Genomic DNA, 20,880 nt, shown 5'->3' with positions numbered 1-20,880 from the left:
AATTCCAGAGACAGAAAAAAGAACGCGAGAATCTGAGCAAATCCAGGACAAGGAGGACAAGGACTAACCCTTAAAAGTGACTGAACTTAAAAAAAGATCTCTTTTTCAGACATTCTTCTGAACACCCCCTTAAGGGAGCAGTCTCAATTGAAAATAGACACCTTCCAATGGCTATTTTTGAAATTACTGAATTAAAACTTATGATTGTGGTTTTCTCCTAGAGTTGTCACTTTCTCTCTCTCTCCCCATTCCTTTTTAAAATTTTAACAACCAGGGTAAATGTAGGATATTTCCCCTTCATTGGTGCTTCTAAAGCTCTCTTAACAAATTGTTTTAATGCCCATTTCAGAGCATCCGAGTTCTCCTGCATTCTAGAAACGTGAGCATGAGGACCGTGTCACAAGATGATTATTTAATTTTCTCAAGGACCTCAGGGGAGCCACTAGGCACATGCTGTTACTTAAAAAGAACATCATCTAAACAACACAGGACTAAAAACCCACACAAAGTCTCCATGACGTGGGCTGCAAGTCACGTTTGTCTTTTCAGGGCTAAGTTCATTCACTTGGGTAAGTCATTTATTCTCACAGCACAATGTGAGTTGCTTGTTTCTAGATGTCCCTCCTGTTGGGTGAGTCTTCATGTATAATGCTCTTTATAGGACATCACACGACATAAAATACCTAGCTACACAGGACTCAGGGATGCGTAGGAACCACTGTCCCTCCTTAAAATGGCAGAAGTTTAGAGTTGGACAGGATTCAGAGGTTACCTAAACTAAAAACGGCCAGGCACAGTGGCTCACGCCTGTAATTCCAACGGAGGCGGGCAGATCACTTGAGGCCAGGAGTTCGAGACCAGCCTGGGAAACATGGTGAAAACCCGTCTCTACTAAAACTACAAAACTTAGTCAGGCGTGGTGGCATACACCGGTAATCCCAGCTACTCAGGAGGCTGGGATAGGAGGATAAATTGAGTCCGGGAGGCAGAGGCTGCAGTGAGCCAAGATCGCCTGACTGCACTCCAGCTTGGGCGACAGAGCGAGACTCCATCTCAAACAACAACAACAACAACAACAACAACAAAAGGGAATTGGAATACGAAGCTCCCAAGTGGAGGGTCATGTTTTACCACGCACACATTGCGGGTTCTGCATCAGATCACCAGAGCTCCATCCCCTTTTCCTCGGCTCTTGTCCTGCTCTTCTTCCCTGGGCGGGCTGGCGTCTCTCACTCCTTGCCAAGAATTAAACTCCCTTCTCCCACTCTGTCTTCTGCTCAGAAGTATCTCCTCCCAACCTTTATTGAATTTCCTCTTCTTTCTCCTGCAAGGGTTCACCACACCTTCCCTACACTGCCCAATTCCCCATTTCACAAACTGATTCTCCCACAAACTCCCCTTCCCCTGCCACCATCTGACGGACCAGGTGCTTTTGCGATGTTGTACTTCCAACACTTGTATTTGTCCAAAGCTTAGCATTCCCAGGCACTGTGCTAAACATTTGCATACAGACCCCATTTCACAGCAATGGCAGGGGCAGAATCTGAGACTGTATGGTTTTGCTCCTGTGCCACTACCCTACCTCAACAAGACCTTTCTTCATCCAAGACTGACAACTATGCTGCAAAGTTATGCTCACAGTTCCTTAAAACTGAGTGTAGACATTTTCCACCAAATTCCTTCGTTACAGGATAAAAACGAAGAAAATGAGAGTGCCCCAGTGAGACTGGGGTAAAGGGAAGAGGATTAGCCCAAGGTCTCAGGGGTTAGAAAAACCTGGGTTTAATTACCAAGTTCTCTAGCAAATCACTTTACTTTTATGGGTCTTAATATTCCTGCACATAAATGTGGTATAGTAGCACTTTTCTTACGTTGTGGTTGTATTAAATACTGCGTACCTGAAATCCTTACTGAACTGGAGTTCAATAAGGACTTAATATTTTTACTATTACTATTAATATTATTATTTGAGATGGAGTTTTGCTCTGTTGCCCAGGCTGGAGTACAATGGCTTGGTCTCAGCTCACTGCAACCTCCACCTCCCGGGTTCAAGCAATCCTCCTGCCTCAGTCTCCCAAGTAGCTGGGATTACAGGCACCCGCCAGTATGCCCAGCTAATTTTTGTATTTTTAGTAGAGATGGGGTTTCACCATGTTGGCCAGGCTAGTCTCAAAACTCCTAACCTCAGATGATCTGCCTGCCTTGGCCTCCCAAAGTGCTGGGACTACAGGCGTGAGCCACCAAGCCCAGCCTTATTATTAACTCTGCAGTCTTCTATTCATAACTCACTGGAGTTCAAATAACACCTAATTTTCACAAACTGTTCTTTTAGGTGCTGTGTAAATAGCAAAGACCACTTAAAAACCCAACAACCAGGCCGGGCGTGGTGGCTCACGCCTGTAATCCCAGCACTTTGGGAGGCCGAGGTGGGCAGATCACGAGCTCAGGAGATCGAGACCATCCTGGCTAACACAGTGAAACCCCGTCTCTACTAAAAATACAGAAATTAGCTGGGCGCGGTGGCTCACACCTGTAATCCCAGCACTTTGGGAAGCCAAGGTGGGCGGATCACGAGGTCAGGAGTTCGAGACCAGCCTGAACAACATGGTGAAACCCCGTCTCTACTAAAAATACAGAAATTAGCCATGTGTGGTGGCACATGCCTGTAATCCCAGCTACCCAGGGGGCTGAAGCAGGAGAATTGCTTGAACCTGGGAGGCAGAGGTTGCAGTGAGCTGAGATCATGCCACTGCACGCCTGGGTGACAGAGCGACACTCTATCTCCAAAAAGAAAAAAGAAAAAAAAAAACAACAACAAAAAAACCCAACAACCAGCCAGGCACAGTGGCTCATGCCTGTAATCCCAGCACTTTGGGAGGCCAAGGCAGGCAGATCACTTGAGGCCAGGAGTTCAAGACCAGCCTGGCCAACATGGTGAAACATGGTCTCTACTAAAAATACAAAAATTAGTCAGGCATAGTGCACATCTGTAATCCCAGCTACTCAGGAGGCTGAGACACAAGAATCGCTTGAACCTGGGAGGCAGTGGCTGCACTGAGCCGAAATCGTGCCACTGCACTCCAGCCTGGGTGACAGAGCAAGACTCCATCTCAAAAAACAAAAACAGAAAAAACCAACAACCTTTTTACGTGTGAAAGCTTGTCATATGGCCAGCATCTGAGGCTGGTTCTGGACAGGCTGTTCAGATATAGAGAAGACTCTGAGCCAATGCAGGTTCAGATCCCCTCTGTGCCACATGGGAAGAGCCTGTGGCTGTGGGCATGTTTCTTCTCTCATTTCTAAGATAGGCAGTGAGAAGCCTCCTAGGGCTCTCTAGAGGATAAAATGAGACCTTGAATGTGAAGTCTAGAGCTTGGCAGGTAAGGAAGCCCTCGTTCCATGTGAAATACACATGAAGTTCATGCACTGATTTATCCAGATACTTTGGGGAGGGTGGCGGGAAGGATACATCCCCAGTACTTCCCCTGAGCGGCCTCTCCTCACAGCACAGGACTTGGAGAGTGTCCTAAGAGGATGGGAGAGAGAGCCGACCTTGTCCACCCCTTTTTAACCTCACTGCCACGCCTCTCAGGGAGTCATTCAGGTATTTATCAAGATACTCGATGTTGGGCCCTTTGTGAGGACGTACCATGGCTTGACTTTCAGAAAACAGGAGGCTCCCCGGGCCAGGAGCCTTGTCTGATCTCCTGCTCCTTGCATTCCTAGTGCCCACCCATAAATACTGGTGCGATCACTGTGGAATGAAGAAGTTGAGACTCCCCAGCCCTGTGGCTCTCAGCCCTGGCCATGTGTCAGAGTAAACTGGGGGATATTTGGAAGACTAGACTGAGCCAGGCCACCCTAGGAAGCTCCCTGGTGAGGGACAGATTGGGAGATAGACTTTGTGAGGGAAGGCCACTGCTGGTCCTGTTCTCTGGGTGGCGGGCTTGAACACAGTAGATGTGCAAATTTGCTGAGAAGGGACTTCAGTATTTGACTCCTATGGTGAGGAATTGGTCCTCATTAGCTCCTTGGAACAAGGTCCAAAGGCCTTATAGTGGAATATGTGACTGTGTGCGGTCAGATTCAGTTTCTGGTACATTGTGCTCCACTCTTCAGATACCACGTGGTAGAAAGGGCACCAGAGCACCCGGTCTCACCCCCTGCTTCCTTGCAGCATCTCAAACACCCCATGCCCATCACTGCCCTGATGGCTCATCTTCTGCAAACAGCTCTGCTGATTGCATCCACACCCCTAACTCCTATGCATCCTTCAAGTTTCAGTCTGCATATTGCCTCCTCTGGAAAGCTCTCCTGGCTTTGCTCCTCATCTACCTTAGACTAAAGATACTTTATCCAAGGACTTCACACATATATTGGCATTGCTAGATTCCCTAGCCCATCACTAACTGTCATGCAGACAATGTACATGACCATATTCATTTCCACATCTGTATGTTAGTAGCATTTATTGTTTCTGACTACACATGACATATATTATTAAAAATTTGGAGAATGCAAAAATGCACAAAGTAGTAAGAGAAATGACGTATCATCCCATACTCAGAAAACTTGGTAATATTTTGGTTTATGCCTTCCCACTTTTTCCCCATACACACACATATGCACATGCACACACAAAATACACCCTGATGTTTCTGTATGTTTCTTTTTTTTTTTTTTACAAGAAAGGGTTATCTTTGATCTTTACCTCCTCCAACTCCTCTAGTCACTATCAGTGTCCCCAAATCCTCCCTCAAATGCACACGCACAGTCTAAGTAGAAATAACACATTTGCCTGTAAGTGGGGACCTTCTCTGGGTCACGGCTGCCTCAAAAGATTTTCCTTTAGAGAAACCCCAGGCCCCTGGTGTGCACCGTAGCCACACTGTTTCATAGCCCATTTTTTAAAGCTGTATGTTTTGAATATTTTCGCATGTCAAGAAATAGTCAATACAATACAATGTATTAATGATGCAGTAGTATTTAGCCATCAAAGTATACCATAATTTACTGATATCATGGTCCCCCGTAATTAGACATTTGCCTGTTTCCAATTTTTCAAATAATCCTTGGATGCACACTTTGTGGTAAAATTTCTAACATGTCTAACACATTCTTTTTTTTTTTAGAAAGATGACTCGACTGTAGAATTGACGGGTAAAAGGGTGTGTCTTTAGGACTTTTGATACATATCAACAACTTGCTCTGAAAAAATGTTGTATCGTTTTAAAATCTCAGGAGCAGTTACCAACACTGAGAATTACAATATTCTTTTCCACTTAGATAAATAAATATCTATGTTTGTGCTAAACAGATATTTCCTGATTGAAATGAACAAATGAATGAATGCACTGATTCAAGGCATTAGGAAAGGCAAGGAATAGCAATAGGAGGAAGCCAGCATTCCCTGGGTTTATAAAGGTTATCATCTAGACGTCTGAGGGTAGGGACAGCCCCAAGAGAAGTTCAGAAATATGATTAATGTTAAGGTCAACCGCGACAACCGCAAGAGAAAAACACAGAGATATAGGAATTCCGATGTGGGAAGACTCATCTCTGGGTAAGGAAATTGAGGCACACTTCCGTGAGGGGAAGAGGAAACTGCCATGGGTTTAGGGATATTTCCATGTCCCTACATGAGCCTAGTCCAGTATTTACATGGCCCTGGGGCCCTACTTCTCCCACCCACCCCATCCCAACCTTAGATGCCCTCCTATCTAGACAAAGAAGAGCTCAGCTGATGTTGTTGCTTTTATAAACAGCATGTGACACCAGTCAACAGGAGCTTCCCGGCCCTCCTCTTCCCCAAGCTTGATTTCATAATCTCTCCAACTGCCTGATCTCCCTCCACGGTCCAAAAAGTGAAGCACCGAAAGTCCCTCCCTACCTCAGGGGCACTGCACTGACTCTGGGGCCGTGGCAGAGGCCTTTTGGTCACAGTCATCAGGTTAATGTGTTATTCTTCGTATTTAGAAAAAAATTAGTCTCACTGTTCAAATAAGTTAGAGTTACTTGAAAGTGTGTTTATGAGTTGCTAGAAGTAACAGTAGAAAATATGAAACACACTGTGGGTAAGTTTTTTTTTTCTTTTATCACAAAGGAGTCAGGGGAGGACTCATCTGTTTAGTAAGAAATATTTTGCTCATTAGCTGGTGACATCATTGCCCTCTGAAATTAGGAGATTTTGGTTAGCATATGGAAAAAAAAAGATGAGATTCCATTCTTCTCCCAGAGGTACAGTGGAACACTGAAATAATCTCTCTGGCAGTTTCAAAATTAACTAGTTGTTGCCAGATTTGAAGAAAGAGACGGAGGAGGAGGCGGCGGCAGAGAGAAGAAGATAATTACATGATAGTTTTATTTGGAAAAAGTATGTGAGAATTTGAGGTAATATTACCATTCCTTTGGGGCAAAGGCTTGTCAGCACTTAATTCACTTAAGAAACTGCTTTAAAATTTAACCATAAAACCAAAGGAGCAGCAAATGGATGTTATGTTCCCTAATCAACTGCAATCTATTTCTTAAACTCATGAACTTTGAATCGTTTTTAATCGCCCCCATGAGGAGAAGGGAGAAAAATACAAAATCTCAGGAGTCCTACAGCCAGATCTAGGGAGACATAAAACAAAAGTGAATCCTCCCACCCCAATTCTGCAGGTTGCCACAGAGCAGAGAATGCCTTTCCTCCTGAATGGGTGGGGGGAGAGAGTGGTAAGTAGAGGCGAGAGGACTGGCTTCTCCTTCACTCTGTAAATCTTTGGAAGACATTTCTGCCTGGGGCTTTGTCACCCTGACCATAGGTCAGAGAAACGTATTGTTTCATATTAAATAGGTGAGTTAGGAAACAAAGTGTTGGGAAGGTAATCTACAGCTCTACAGGTCCCTCTGTTCAGAGTGGGGTAGTGTTATCCAGAGCAAATCTATGGGATCAGACACACTGAAGACTAAAGCAAAACACCAAACCCACTCATTCCCAAGGGCATCCAATTCTCACATGCCATGGAAAAAGGATGATTCAGAACAGGACTGCCAAGTAGGGCAATTACATACGCATTTAAGGCGCTAGTTTCTGGAGCTGATGAAAGTGTTCATCCCAGAAGCCGTAAGTCTCCTAAGGGATTGGGTGGTGTTTGCAAAGTCACATTACTTTTATGGCATCTTAGGCTGAATGACTCATGTATCAGGCACGATGACTTCTCCGACAGGGCTGCCAAACAACCTTGTCTAGGCAAATGGCAATGTAGAAATACAGAGAACTGATGGAGCCAAATGGCAATGGAGGGAAGGTGGGACCACCAAGACCATTCCTCCAAGCCAAACTTATGCCACCAGGTCAGTGGTCATCTGTCGAAGCTGGAGGCAGGAGGGTCCAATGTTACCTCCTAGACTGACGATCTACAACCTTAACGTTAATCTCCTTCTGTTTGCAGAATAAATAAGCAAATTTACTTCAAGTTCCAAATTGAAGAAATCTAGACTAAATACCTTCAGAGAGGAATTATTTAGAGCTAGAAAGGTTCTTTGTGGTCATCCAATTGGCAAAACAATCAGGTCATGAACTCTGCTGAACACTGAACCACAGAATATTCTTCTCACAACGACTAACAAAATGAGCAAAAGCCCCCCAAGAAGAAAAAACAAACAAACAAACAAACAATAAAACACTAAAAACTAGCAAAAATATTGCGCCAAGAGCAACCAAAGAGAGAAAGCTACATAATCTAATGTACTAAACTCCATGACTAAGGTAAGAAACAAATTTCTGAGGCCCACTGGAAAAGGCCCACAACTTCTACAAAAGCCAGGCTGGCAGGAATCCACAGAATCCTTTCATGTGACTCCAAATCTGGAAGGAAACTGTGTGACCTCTTTATCTTTTTCTGACCTAACAGCAGTGGAAATGGCTACAGAAGAGCAATGAGTGAAACGATGGAAAGTCAAGTGAGGTTGTTCTTGATTGAAATACAGTCTCTAAAATTCAAAAAATGAATGAAAGGCAGAATGGCTATGTTCTACCAATTACCCCAGCTATGAACCAGGTGGCATCAATTACGATACGGCACATTCAACACAGTTTCAGGAGAGAAAAGGCAGAGTCCAGCTATCCCAATGAAGACCACATTTCACCATATATCATGGCCAGGTTGTAGCAACAACAAACATAAATGGACCACAAAATGAAGCCCTCAACTGTATCTTGAAAGGAGAAAAAAAAAAAAAATCTATTGTCAGATAGCATGGCAAACAGGTCAAAACATAACCCTCAATATCAGCACAAATGGAGAACGTGATCAGAGCCACCCAAACAGGACCAAGGACATGACAACTATACAAACAAACTACGGCAAAGAGAGGGGGAAAAGAAGAAGCATAGATAAAAACAAAAAGCCAATCTTTGCTCTCATCACTTCATCATCTCAACTCAAGGAACAGGAAGAAATTCCTAATAGTTGCTTCTCTCTATAAAATAATTTAATAAGAACGTGAATTCAATTAAATGAGACCTCAAAGACAAGATAAAAAACATAAATTATATAAATTTAAAGTTTGCAGAAATAAGGAAACAACCTATTACAGAACCAATTTATAAATAAAAATAAGTAAAGAATAGAATCTATACCCTAGAAGTCAAAATACTGAGAGAGAGAAATGCTTCATATTACTTGACCTAATTTTCTCATATTACCCAAGTTTTCCGATTTACTCAGCTCTTCATCTAGACCTCTGACTTTGCTGCTGCCTCTCCTGACACACATTTCTCCTTCTCCTGGAAAGCTCTTCCTCAGTGTCAACCACCTTCTCTGGGAAGGCTCCCAGACCCTCTTTGCTGGGGCTTGCTGGACTTTCTGTGTGCACCTATCACAATAGGCAGGAAAATCTCAATGAAGTCCACAACCACGCCATCTATTAATCTAATCCTTTTCTCAAACCCAAGCTCCCTGTGTACAAGGACTGGCACATAGTGGGTACTCAATAAATGCTTGCACATAAATAAATGAAAGAATGCTCAAGATGGCATTGTTTCAACCTACACTTTGGTTCAAATGCTCAGTGTAAGAAGAGATTTGCATCCTTTTATAAACTAATTATGTGATGCTATTAGCATAATACTAATAATAAATATTAGAGTGAACATTAGAAAGTTAGTAGTGTGGTGTGGTACAAAGAGGGAGATGAACGGCATAGAGAAGAGAATAAAAGGATATTTTGATAGAAATTATATTGTAAAAAAATTTGGTTGTGTTAAAATATTGCTTTCCAAATGATTTGTCTCATGACTGACTATCGTTCTAAGAATTTTGTTGCAGTGAGCCGAGATAGTGCCACTGCACTCCAGCTTGGGCGACAGAGTGAGACTCCATCTCCAAAAAAAAAAAAAAAAACAAAAAAAAGAATTTTGATACAATGGGTAATTGTGACAACATTCAAATGGACTCAAAACAAGTGAAGGGCAACCTATGATTCTAATAAGCAGGCTTAGGTTGGAGATGGCCCGCAGTCTAAATTCTACTTACGAATAACAATAGTGCCTGGGTATCTCCCCAACCCATCCATTAAATAAGGACCGGCGCTAGGGCAAATGATTTAACAAGGAATTGACATGTAATCAATCAGTAACATTGAACAAGTAATGGAAATCCTCTTATCCCCAACTTCCCCAGCGTTGTTCCCAAGAGCACAATAAAAAACTGGGATTGCAAACTGAAATGCCAATCTCTAAACCAAATTAGATTACAAATATCTGTACTGAAATATAATCAGCTAGCAGGGGAAATGTGGCATATCCTCTGTGGTATGTATGTATTAGGTTGGACAAAGGAAATCACCACTTTTATAGGTCAAAAGCTGTCTAGTATCTCGAGTTCCACAAGGTTCAACCAAATGAAAGAAACAGACCAAATTGTATCCGTAATCTATCTTAAATTAATTTTTTAAAAATAGGTATCCTCAGATTATATAGTATCTGGGTTATTTTGTCATTTGTTTTTATCAATGTGGCCCTTGATATGTTTTTCTTTTTCTTTTTTTTTTCTTTTTTAGAGACAGGTTCTTGCTCTGCCACCCAGGCTGGAGTGCAGTGGCATGAACACAGCTCACTACAGCCTCGTTCAGGCAATCCTCCCGCCTCAGCCCCACAAGTAGCTGGGACTACAGATGCACACTACTATGCCCAGCTAAATTTGTTTTTTTTGTTTTTTTTTTTTTGTTTGTTTGTTTTTGTAGAGATGAGGTTTCACCATGTTGGCCGGGCTGGTCTAGAACTCCTGAGCTCAGGCAATCCACCCACCTTGGCCTCCCAAAAAGCTGGGATTACAGGTGTGAGCCACCACGCCCAGCCAGCCTTTGATATGTCGAGGAAGGCCTCCAAGCAGCAAGCACCCTCAACTTCCTGAAACTGCAGAAATCAGTAATGATAAAGATGTGCCTGGTTAGTTCCCAAAGTCAAAGAGCCAAATGGGCCTGCCATGAGAGTGCCTTCCGACATAACAGGTATGGAACACACACCCACACACTCCATGAGACGACGTCATCAGCACTGTAGGGCCCTAGATTATTTCAGTACAATAACTACTTACACTTCACAGACAGTACTAAGTCCAAACATGCTTACTAAAATCATACCAGACCCACCCTTAAACCCACTTACACAATAATGCCTTCTGAAATAGAAAATAAATTGATTATGTGTTTGGTAAAAGTGTAACCAAGTATGCACTTTTACATTAAGTTTGTTCTGACAATTCTAGCCTATCTGCTGATACATGAATATAAGCCATTACTACCATGTTAATGGCATGTACAAAAATAGCACTTTTATGGGAACTCAAGTATTTTAAGAATGACAGTTGACGGGAAGGGCAGAAGATCTTCACATCAAATAACAAAGAGATGAAGTGCCTGGCCACAGATACAGAGCTAATAGGTGGGAGATTTGGATCTGAGCCCCAGGTCTGACTCAAGTCTGAGCTTAACCAGTCTCCTCTCTTGCCCACGCAGGGTGAAGGCCTGGTTTCCAGGGCCTAGTAGAGGCAACAGCTTCCTTCTTGTGTAACTTTGTGGAAACATGGTGATCTTAGGGACTCAACAAATACATGCCTGAAAACTTTGGCCCCTGTCCCAGAGAAAAGACTGGGAATGGGAGGGCAGAAGAGAAGAAGTGACAAGAAGCCACCTAAGCAATGGCTCCTGGGCAGCTTATAACCAGACGGAACAAAACGGGCATTTCTCAAAACCTCTCACTATGTATATTTTTCCAATGGACTGATTTTTCCTTTAGTCTCACCCTAAGCTGTAGATTAAAGGAATTATTACTTTTACTCTTTTAGTAAGAACTTTAATATATTCTTATTTTACTATCATTTTAGTTTCAGAATCATGGTTTTATTAAAATACAGAGTAATACTTCCTCCTATAATCTCCTACCCAGCGAAATAAAATGAAAATTTATAAGAATTATCCATAAAAATCAGAATAATCATATGAAGGTCTCAAACACATTAAAAGACTAAGATCAGTATACATTATTTTATATTTTTAAAAAATTTACTTTTTTTTTTTCTTTTTTTTGAGACAGGGTCTCGCTCTGTCACCTAGGCTGGAGTGCAGTGGTACAATCATAGCTCACTGCAGTTTCGGCCTCTTGGGCTCAAGAAATCCTCCCGACTCAGCCTTCTGAGTAGCTGGGACTACAGGCGTGTGCCACCATGCCCGGCTAACTTTTTTATTTTATGTAGATCCCATGCTGGTCTTGAACTTCTGGCCTCAAGTGATCCTCCTGCCTCAGCGTCCCAAAGTGCTGGCATTACAGGCATGGGCCACCACACCCAGCCAATAAAAGTTAATTTTAACATAGTTACATGTAGAAAGATTTTTGAAAAGGGTTCATCTACACAAGGTAATACTGCATGCATCGTATACAGAATTGCTGATACCTATCCCAAGGATACAGGGCATAAATGCCTTCTGATAAATTATTGCTATGTTTTGTTTCTTCTTTCTCCTGGTCATATTACAAGTCAAACAAGTAAACTCTTCTGTGTGAGAAATAAAGAACTGAAGAACATGAGCCTAAGACAACTATTAGAGCTTTAATAAGTAGAACCATTTTCTAGCTGTAAACCAAAAAGCATCTTGCCAATTAGAACCCTTTTAAATTTAAACCCACACACTCAGAGTTATGAAAAGATCCCTTAGGAAAAGAGATGCAGTGGAAAAAAAAGTAAACACCATTAAAAAGCAAAACGCTTATTCAGAAATGAAAGTTATTTTTATACTTGGAATCTATCCTCTCTTAAACTTCCTTATCAAACACGCCTATAATTCCAGCACTTTGGGAGGCCGAGGCAGGCGGATCACCTGAGGTCAGGAGTTCGACAACAGCCTGGCCAACATGGTGAAACCCTGTCTCTACTAAAAAATACAAAAAAAAAAAAAAAATTAGCCAGGCGTGATGGCGTGCGCCTGTAATCCCAGCTACTCTGGAGGCTGAGGCAGGAGAATCGCGTGAACCCAGGAGGTGGAGGTTGCAGAGGGCCGAGATCGTGCCACTGCACTCCAGCCTGGGTGACAGAATGAGACTCCTTCTCAAAAAATAAATGAATAATTACAAGAAGACAAAGACAGTAGAAATAAAATCCATCATTTTCTTGGGGATACTTTCACCGGACCTACAACGCCGACTGAAGTACTACAGTATGTGTCACTCTTCACATAATTTATGCATCTAATCAATATTCACTGCCATCCAAGTCAGCAAAACTATAAAAATTGTACACATTTTTTTAGATTGCTGGGAATATTTATAGGTGGGAGCAGATTTTGTAAATTCATCATATGCTGCCATTAAAGAAATCTTTGCGGTCAGACTTTTCCACATGATGAAGCTAATGATATAGGTTTATATGTTAACACCTTTGAAATGTAAAAATAAAACATCTGGTAAATTTTAACCTAGTGTCTAAAAGTTACTCTAGTAAAAAATAAAATAAAATAAAATTCAAAATAAACACAGCAAGAATAGTCAACCTTTAAAATTTTGAGTTGAGCTCACAATAGCAGATTCTATAAAAGACGACAGTGGTTATACAAGTAGAAGGATGCTGCCACTCTGCTCCAAAAAGCAGTGAAATCACAACTGCTCAGGCCACCTTATGAGTGTGTGCACTGTTCTTCCGCCATATTCTATAAAAAGGGATTACACTGTTAACCTTTTCTTGTGTCATAATGGAAATTAAGCCATTTGCCACAAGAACCACTTAAAAGGAACTTCTGCCGGTGCCCTGGCTTTCGGCACATACCAGAATTGTTATTAGCAAATTATCTTTCAGAATGTTCTATTTCGACTAGGGCTGTGACTACCTTTCCTTCCAAAACTTCGAAACTAAATCCTCTGGCTTGAAGACAATGTCTGTTATTGAGGCTGGTGAAAGGACATTGAAAACTCTAAGTAAAACCTGGCCACTGGAGAGGCACATGTTTATGGTTTACAATTTTAGAAAGTCCCAAAAAGATTTAAAAGGTGCCAACTAAAAGATCTTATAATCTGGGGATATTTTAGTTGAGACCTTGGAAGTCCTCAATCAAGGAAACATTGAAAATAGCTCCACGGCATTCTGTGTCTGTGGCCCAAAGTTTTGGACACAGTTCAACCACATGGCTCTCTCTACCTCAAACCAAATTAGTGACAAAAATGTACATATGGTTGAATGGAAGGCTATGAAGAGTGCACACATGGAGGTAAGGTGGTGTTATAAGGCCACAAGCCCACAGTTATAACATTCTTTTTTTGTTTTTGTTTTTGTTTTTTGTTTTTTTGAGACGGAGTCTTGTTCTGTCGCCAGGCTGGAGAGCAGTGGCGTGATCTCGGCTCACTGCAACCTCTACCTCCCGGGTTCAAGCGACTCTCCTGCCTCAGCCTCCTGTATAACATTCTTTGCACAAATATTTCCCAACTCTAAAACTCCCCAAAAGCAAAAGTGATCAGTTATGAAACGATGACTTGCTTTACTCACTCAAAACAACATTTCCCTAGAGGTCCTCCATCCTGGTAAGGAACTCCAGCTACAGAAACACAATTCCAGCTTTTCCTGGAACACATTTTGCTATGAAGTGAAAAATCTACTGAACGGTAAAGATGACTCTAGCCCATCTTGTGCTTTGTTGTCATGGTTGTTGCTTTCATTTTTCTTCATACATTATATATATTCTTAAAAAATTTTAAATAAGATTGCCATCAAATGACCTTTCATTTGGAAAGATCTTTCACAGCAAACATTTTTGTTAATATTCAAGTACCAGGTATAGATCACTAACTCTTACCCACCAGCTTTCTAAAAACAGAAAAACCATGATTTACAACTTACATTAGCAAAAAACTAGAAAACCCGGTAAAACAGAGATCATAATTTCTTTAAATGTCTTCTTAACTAGAAAATAAACTGAATCTTAGGGCACAAAGCTTGAGAACTCTTACAATCACCCCTCCCTGCAGGAGGCAAAGGAAAAAATAAACTTACCAAACTAAATTAAAATGAAAAATAATAAATAAATGTGCAGACATTTAATAAGAAATCGAGCTAAGCTCTCAACCAAAAATCTCTTTTAAAACTTTTAGCACTCCCAACAGAAGTTTATTATTAATGGAAAACAGCACAAAACAGATTCTTCTCTGGCAAAGGGAAATCTATTTTTCACTTCCCCTGGTAACTATCTTTAGTACTTTACACTCTTGGAAACTAGGAATGTGCATATGGATTTATTGTGAGGCAACACGCGATTATCTAATTTCAGCGATTGGGGTGGGGAAGCCTATGAAATCAATGCAAATGAAATCCTAAGGCATGACAGGCATCAATATAGGCATTGAGGTCTGGTGACAAAGGCCTTGTGATCCCTAAAACTTTCATGGCCTGGGCATTCCTGATTCGAGCCAGTGGGCTATTCACATCTCTGTATTCTAGAAAGGAATCGATAGAAAACAGAAAAGCTCCGGCTCTTGCACAAAAAATATTCAAAGCGCCTATAACCCGTGGTGGCTGAATTCTGAAATTAACTGCTCTGCCACAGAGGAAAATCTAAAATAATGAGAATGAATATTTTGGATGGGGTTTCTGGCCAACTCTTCATAAAAATGCAGAACAGGCTAAAGCCAGAGTAAGAGGGGCAAGGGTCATATATATACCTTAGGATTACAATCAAGTTCAAGCAAACTTCAGTGGTGATGGTGGTGGGTTGTAGCTCTGAACAGCATGACCAGAGGTGGGCATGGGTGTTGGCAGAAAGTCAGCTAGCAAAATACACAGAGTAAATCAACTGCTTCAAAAAACTGCATTGCTGACTAGCCTATCATCACCTACGCCTCTCAGCCAAAAGAGAAGTCACTCTTCAGAACTTCTGGAAGACCGTGCTCTGAGAGGAGGAAGCATATGGTATTTCTGGCCCTAGGTCTAACTAAGACAGGCTGAATTTATTTGCGGGCCATCTATGAAGAAATAGTTTGGTAAGAAGTTAGTAATGCAAATGTGTATATGGCATCTCAAATCTGTGTGCATACACGAGTGTGATTTTATTTATTTATTTATTTATTTATTTATTTATTTATTTATTTATTTATATTTTATGAGACAGAGTCTTGCTCTATTGCCCAGGCTGGAGTGCAGTCCTGTGATCTTGGCTCACTGCAACCTCCGCCTCCTGGGTTCAAAAGATTTCCTTGCCTCAGCCTCCCAAGTAGCTGGGACTATAGGCACAGACCACCACATCTGGCTAATTTTCTATTGTATTTTTGTAGAGACCGGGTTTCACCATGTTGGCCTGGATGGTCTTGAACTCCTGACCTCAGGTAATCCGCCTGCCTCAGCCTCCCAAAGTGCTGGGATTACAGGTGTGAGCCACTGTGCCCTGCCACATGGATGTGATTTTAACCTCTGCTCTACAGCATAAACTGTCAGAAAAGGACCTTTCTCTTTCTCCTTTACTTTTATAACTCAAACATCTAGCACAATGCCTGCTATATAGCAAGGGCTCCATAAACGTCTCCCAAATGAATAAAGAAATGCTGAAGAGAATGAAATGTTCCAACTATTAAGAAGAACCCATTTCATTCTCACAATTTATATCTAGCTAATGGTTCTGACCAGCCCTCTGAAAGGGGTCTCATAAACCAATGCTTAATAATGCTTTCTTAGCAGCTTGTTCTAAATGCTTGATAATACTTATATTAACTTTTTCCTAAACAAAACAAGCTTCTCTCTTTGAAGTCTAAGTGTGTGAGGTTTTACTACAGTCCTGTTTCTCTGAATGGACAAAGTCTTCTAACCTCTCCCTTGACTCAGATGCTATTAATCAGGGCAGTATACAGTGGGTCTGATACTAAGGGACCCGGTATGGACAACTGGGTCTTTGTTTTCTCCCCCAAGTTGGGTTTGAATCAGTCCTGAGTTACTGTATTTATTTCTCATGATCCTTTAGGTTCGTGATTTACATCTATATTATGTTAGACTTCAGGACTTGAGGATTAGAGACCCAAAAAGGCACATTGATAACCATGGACACGGCTCTTTTGATTACCTCATCGTCCCGGGACACACTGCTGGCTGGCCTATGACACATTTATTATTATAAACGGTAATGTCTCAGTCACTTTCACACAAAAGTAAACCAGGCAGGGCTTTCAGATTCATAATCCTTTGTTTTTTAGCTGCAGTGGAAATCTGGTGCTTGATTCAGGAAATTGGGAGATGATGGGAGGATTATATTTATTTCTGATAAACTGCCATTTGTTGCTTAGATAGAAAAAAAGGTAAAGACTGAATCTGTAGTTGCAAGACATAAAACATGCTCTTAAGGCAGCCAGGAAGAATGAATGTTCAGGCCAGGTGCGGTGGCTCACGCCTGTAATCCCAGTACTTTGGTAGGCCGAGGCGGGTGAATCACCTGAGGTCAGAGGTTCGAGACCAACCTGGTCAACATGGTGAAACCCCATCTCTACTAAAAATAGAAAAATTAGCTTGGCGTCGTGGCGCATGCCTATAATCCCAGCTAATCGGGACACTGAGGCAGGACAATTGCTTGAACCCAGGAGGCAGAAGTTGCAGTGAGCCGAGATCATGCCGCTGCACTCCAGCCTGAGCGACGGAGTGAGACTCCGTCTCAACAACAACAACAAAAAAGAATGAATGTTCAAATACAATGCTCTTCTTGAAATATTTCTATAGGAGCTGGACATTGGAGAGACAAAGAATACAGTCTTTCTTGCCCAAGGGGGTCACTATTTCCAAGGAGGCTGAAATATGTACAACCAATTTTGATATTCTAGGATAATTCTTTAAGTTTGATCTATAAAGCCAGTTTAACAAAAGCACATAATAGGTAGCAATAAATACGCTTGAGGACGGGAAGGAAAGTTTCAGAGAGCAAGGAACAGTTGGACTCCACCTTGAAAAACTCAGATTTTTACCAGGAAAATTTTGGAGGAAAACATTTTAGATAAAGAAAATTATGTGAGTTAAAGGGCAGAAGAATGAAAAATACAAGGTTTGTTCAGTCATGCATATGGGGTCCAATATGTCTGGTGTATAGGCTATTGGGTGTGGAGATAGAATATGAGATTTAAGAAATTGATTAAAGCCAGATCACATAGAATTTTAAGTGTGCCAAGAAGGGTGGAATTTATCTTATAGAAATGGAAAACCATCAGCGTTTTCAAAACATAACTGCAAGAACAGAGGGATGTTTTACAAAGATGACTGGTTGTATGGAACATAGATAGGAAAAGACAAGAGACTGAAGACAGGGAGATGGGGTAGTTTCCAAATTTTAAGGATGAGATAACCTAAAAAACAAAACACAACTATATAATACGTGAAAAGAGGTAATTCCTTCTGTTTCTGCTCCACACATTGTGAAGATGGCACCCTACAATGTTTGTATGAGGCCAGGCGCAGTGGCTCATGCCTGTAATCTCAGCATTTTGGGAGCCCGAGGTGGGTGGATCACAAGGTCAGGAGTTCGAGACCAGCCTGGCCAATATGGTGAAACCCTGTCTCTACTAAAAAATACAAAACTTAGCTGAGTGCGGGAGTGCACACCTTGAGTCCTAACTACTCGGGAGGCTGAGGCAGGAGAATCACTGGAACCTGGGAGGTGGAGGTTGCAGTGAGCTGAGATCGCGCCACTGTACTCCAGCCTGGGTGACAGAGCAATACTCTTATCAAAAAAAAAAGCCTATATGAAATTCTGGAGCCTTCATTCCTATCATCCCTATGGAACTTGTAGAATAAGAAGCACTGTTTTGGTCATATTGAAACAGTGTGAATAATACAAGGTACGTAAGATGGAAAGGAAAAAGTTAAATTATTATTATTATTATTATTATTTTTTGCAGAAGACATGATCTTGTTTTCTTGTTTTTTTTTTTTTTTTTTTTAAAGACAGGATGGAGTGCAGTGGTACAATCACAGCTTACTGCAGCCTTGGCCTTCTGGGCTCAAGCAATCCTCCCACCTCAGCCTCCTGAAGACATGATCTTATATATAGAAAACCCTAACACTATACACACACACACACACACACACACACACACACACACAGCCTATATAGCTAATAAATTCAGCAAAGTGACAGGATAGAATATCAATGCATGAAAATCCACTGCATTTTTATACACTAGCAATGAACAATTTGAAAAAAATTTAAAAAGCATTGTCACTTACAATAACATCAAAAAGAATAAAATACTTAGAAATAAACTTAATTAAGGAAGCAAGACTTATATACTGAAAACTGCAAAACACTGCTGAAAGAAATTAATGAAGACATAAATAAATGGAAAGATACCCTATGTTCATTGACTGGAAGATTTCGTATAGTTAAAATGATATTACCCAAGTCAATCTAAAGATTCAATGCAATCCCTATCAATATCCCAACGATATATTTTTCAAAAATAGAAAAACTCAAACTAAGATTAATGTGGAATCTCAAGGAACCTTTAAATAGCCAAAACAACCTTAAAAAACTAGAACAAAATCGGAGGTGTCATACTTCCTAATTTCAAAACTTACTATAAAGCTATGGTAATCAAAACAGCATTGTACTAGCAAAATGACAGAGATAGTCCAATGGAATAAAATAGAGAGCCCAGAAATACATCATCACATATATGATCAATCAATTTTCAAAAAGTATGCCATGACCATAAAATGAGGAAAGGACAGTCTTTTCAACAAATGGTTCTGGAAAAACTGGATATCCACATGCAAATGAATGAAGTTGGACCCATATATTTCATCATATACAAATATTAACTCAAAACAGGTCAAAAACCTAAACTTAAAGGCTAAAACTATGAAACCCTCAGAAAAAACCAGAGGGCAACATCTTCATGATATTAGATTTGGCAATGATTTTTTGGATATGACACCAAAAGCACAGGCAACAAAAAAACAAATAGACACACTAGATTTCAAAATTTAAAAGTGTGTGCATCAAGGACACTATCAAGAGAGGTAAAAGGCATCCCACAGAGTGGGAGGAAATATTTACAAATCACATATCTGATAAGGGATTAATATCCAGAAAATAGAAAGAACCCCTGCAAGCTAACAACAGCAGCAAAACAACATAACTGAAGACCAGGCAAAAGACTCAGACATTTCTACAAAGATGATACACAAATGGCCAATGAACATGTGAAAGATGCTTGAGGGAAATGCAAATCAAAATCACGAGATACCATTTCACACCATTAGGATAATTATTATCAAAAAAGTAAAACAACAAGTGTTGATGAGAAAGGCAAGAATTTGGAACTTTTGTACATTGTTGGCAGGAAGGTAAAACGATACAGCTACTGTGAGAAAACATATGGCGGTTCCTCAAAAAGGTAAATACAGAATTACTACATGATCCAGAAATTCTACCCCTAGGTATGTGCTAGGTATGTGCAAAAGAACTGAAAGCAGAGACTCAGAGATACTTGTACACCAGTGTTCAGAGCAGCATTGTTCATAATGGCTAAAAGCTGGAAGCAACCTAAGTGTCCATTAACAGATGAATGGATAAACAAAATGTGGTATACACATAGAGTGGAATATTATTTATCCATAAAAAGGGATGAAGTTCTGATACATGCTGCAGCGTGGATGAACCCTGAAAGAATTATGCTAGTGAAATAAACCAGACACACAAAGACAAATATTGTATAATTCCACTTACATGAGCTATTGAGAGGTGTCAAATTCACAGGGGCAGAAAGTAGAACGGTGGCTGCCAGGGGCAGGGTGTGTGTGGAGGTGGGTGAGGCGGGGGCGTAGGGAGAGTTATTGTTTAATTGGAACAGAGTTTCGGTTTGAAATGATGAAGAACTTCTGGAAGTAAATTATGATGCTGGTTGCACAGCAATGTGAATGTACTTAATGATCAATATCATTAACAGTACCAGTATCACTGAACACTTTAAAATAGCTGATATGGTAAATGTCATCTTATGTATACTTTACTGCAATTAAAAAAAAAAAAAACAAAACCCCAGCATGATAACACTATTTTGACTGTAGATGAGTCTCTGTCAGGTAGAGAAAATAAGCAATCTATATGAACAGACACCTCTTTGCAGACCCAGGTGCGAGTCGGAAGTTTCGAAAAGAAATACAAAGACTAAAATGGTGAAGACTGTCCCTTATCGGCGTAGGTGATCAAGATGTCAAAGACATGATAAACTCACATTGCAGTTTGATGAGCCATCAAACGTTGGGTAAGAACCATCTGGCCAGTCAGCAGGGTCCAGGGCAGCCGACTGCCGGTGCTGGGCCTCGTATTCCTTGAGCTGTAACAAGAAGAAATGGATACTGAAATGGAAAGAATGGCCAGACACTG

General features: G+C 41.0%; 1 protein-coding gene across 13 annotated transcripts in view; it reads right to left on the bottom strand.

Annotated features, from left to right (window-relative positions):
• The window catches only part of SASH1 (SAM and SH3 domain containing 1), a 358,577-nt gene that overhangs the window by 43,601 nt on the left and 294,096 nt on the right, over positions 1-20,880 (bottom strand). For all 13 annotated transcript variants that reach the window (XM_017010599.2, XM_024446384.2, XM_017010600.2 and 10 more), the window contains one exon: positions 20,729-20,830. In XM_017010599.2, the coding sequence (XP_016866088.1) occupies positions 20,729-20,830 (102 nt within the window). The remainder of the gene's footprint in view (positions 1-20,728; positions 20,831-20,880) is intronic.

The sequence above is a fragment of the Homo sapiens genome, chromosome 6 (assembly GCF_000001405.40).
Source record: "Homo sapiens chromosome 6, GRCh38.p14 Primary Assembly".
NCBI lineage: Eukaryota > Metazoa > Chordata > Mammalia > Primates > Hominidae > Homo > Homo sapiens.
The sequence above is the reverse complement of the archived record's forward strand: the minus strand, read 5'-3'. Positions and strand labels throughout refer to the sequence as shown.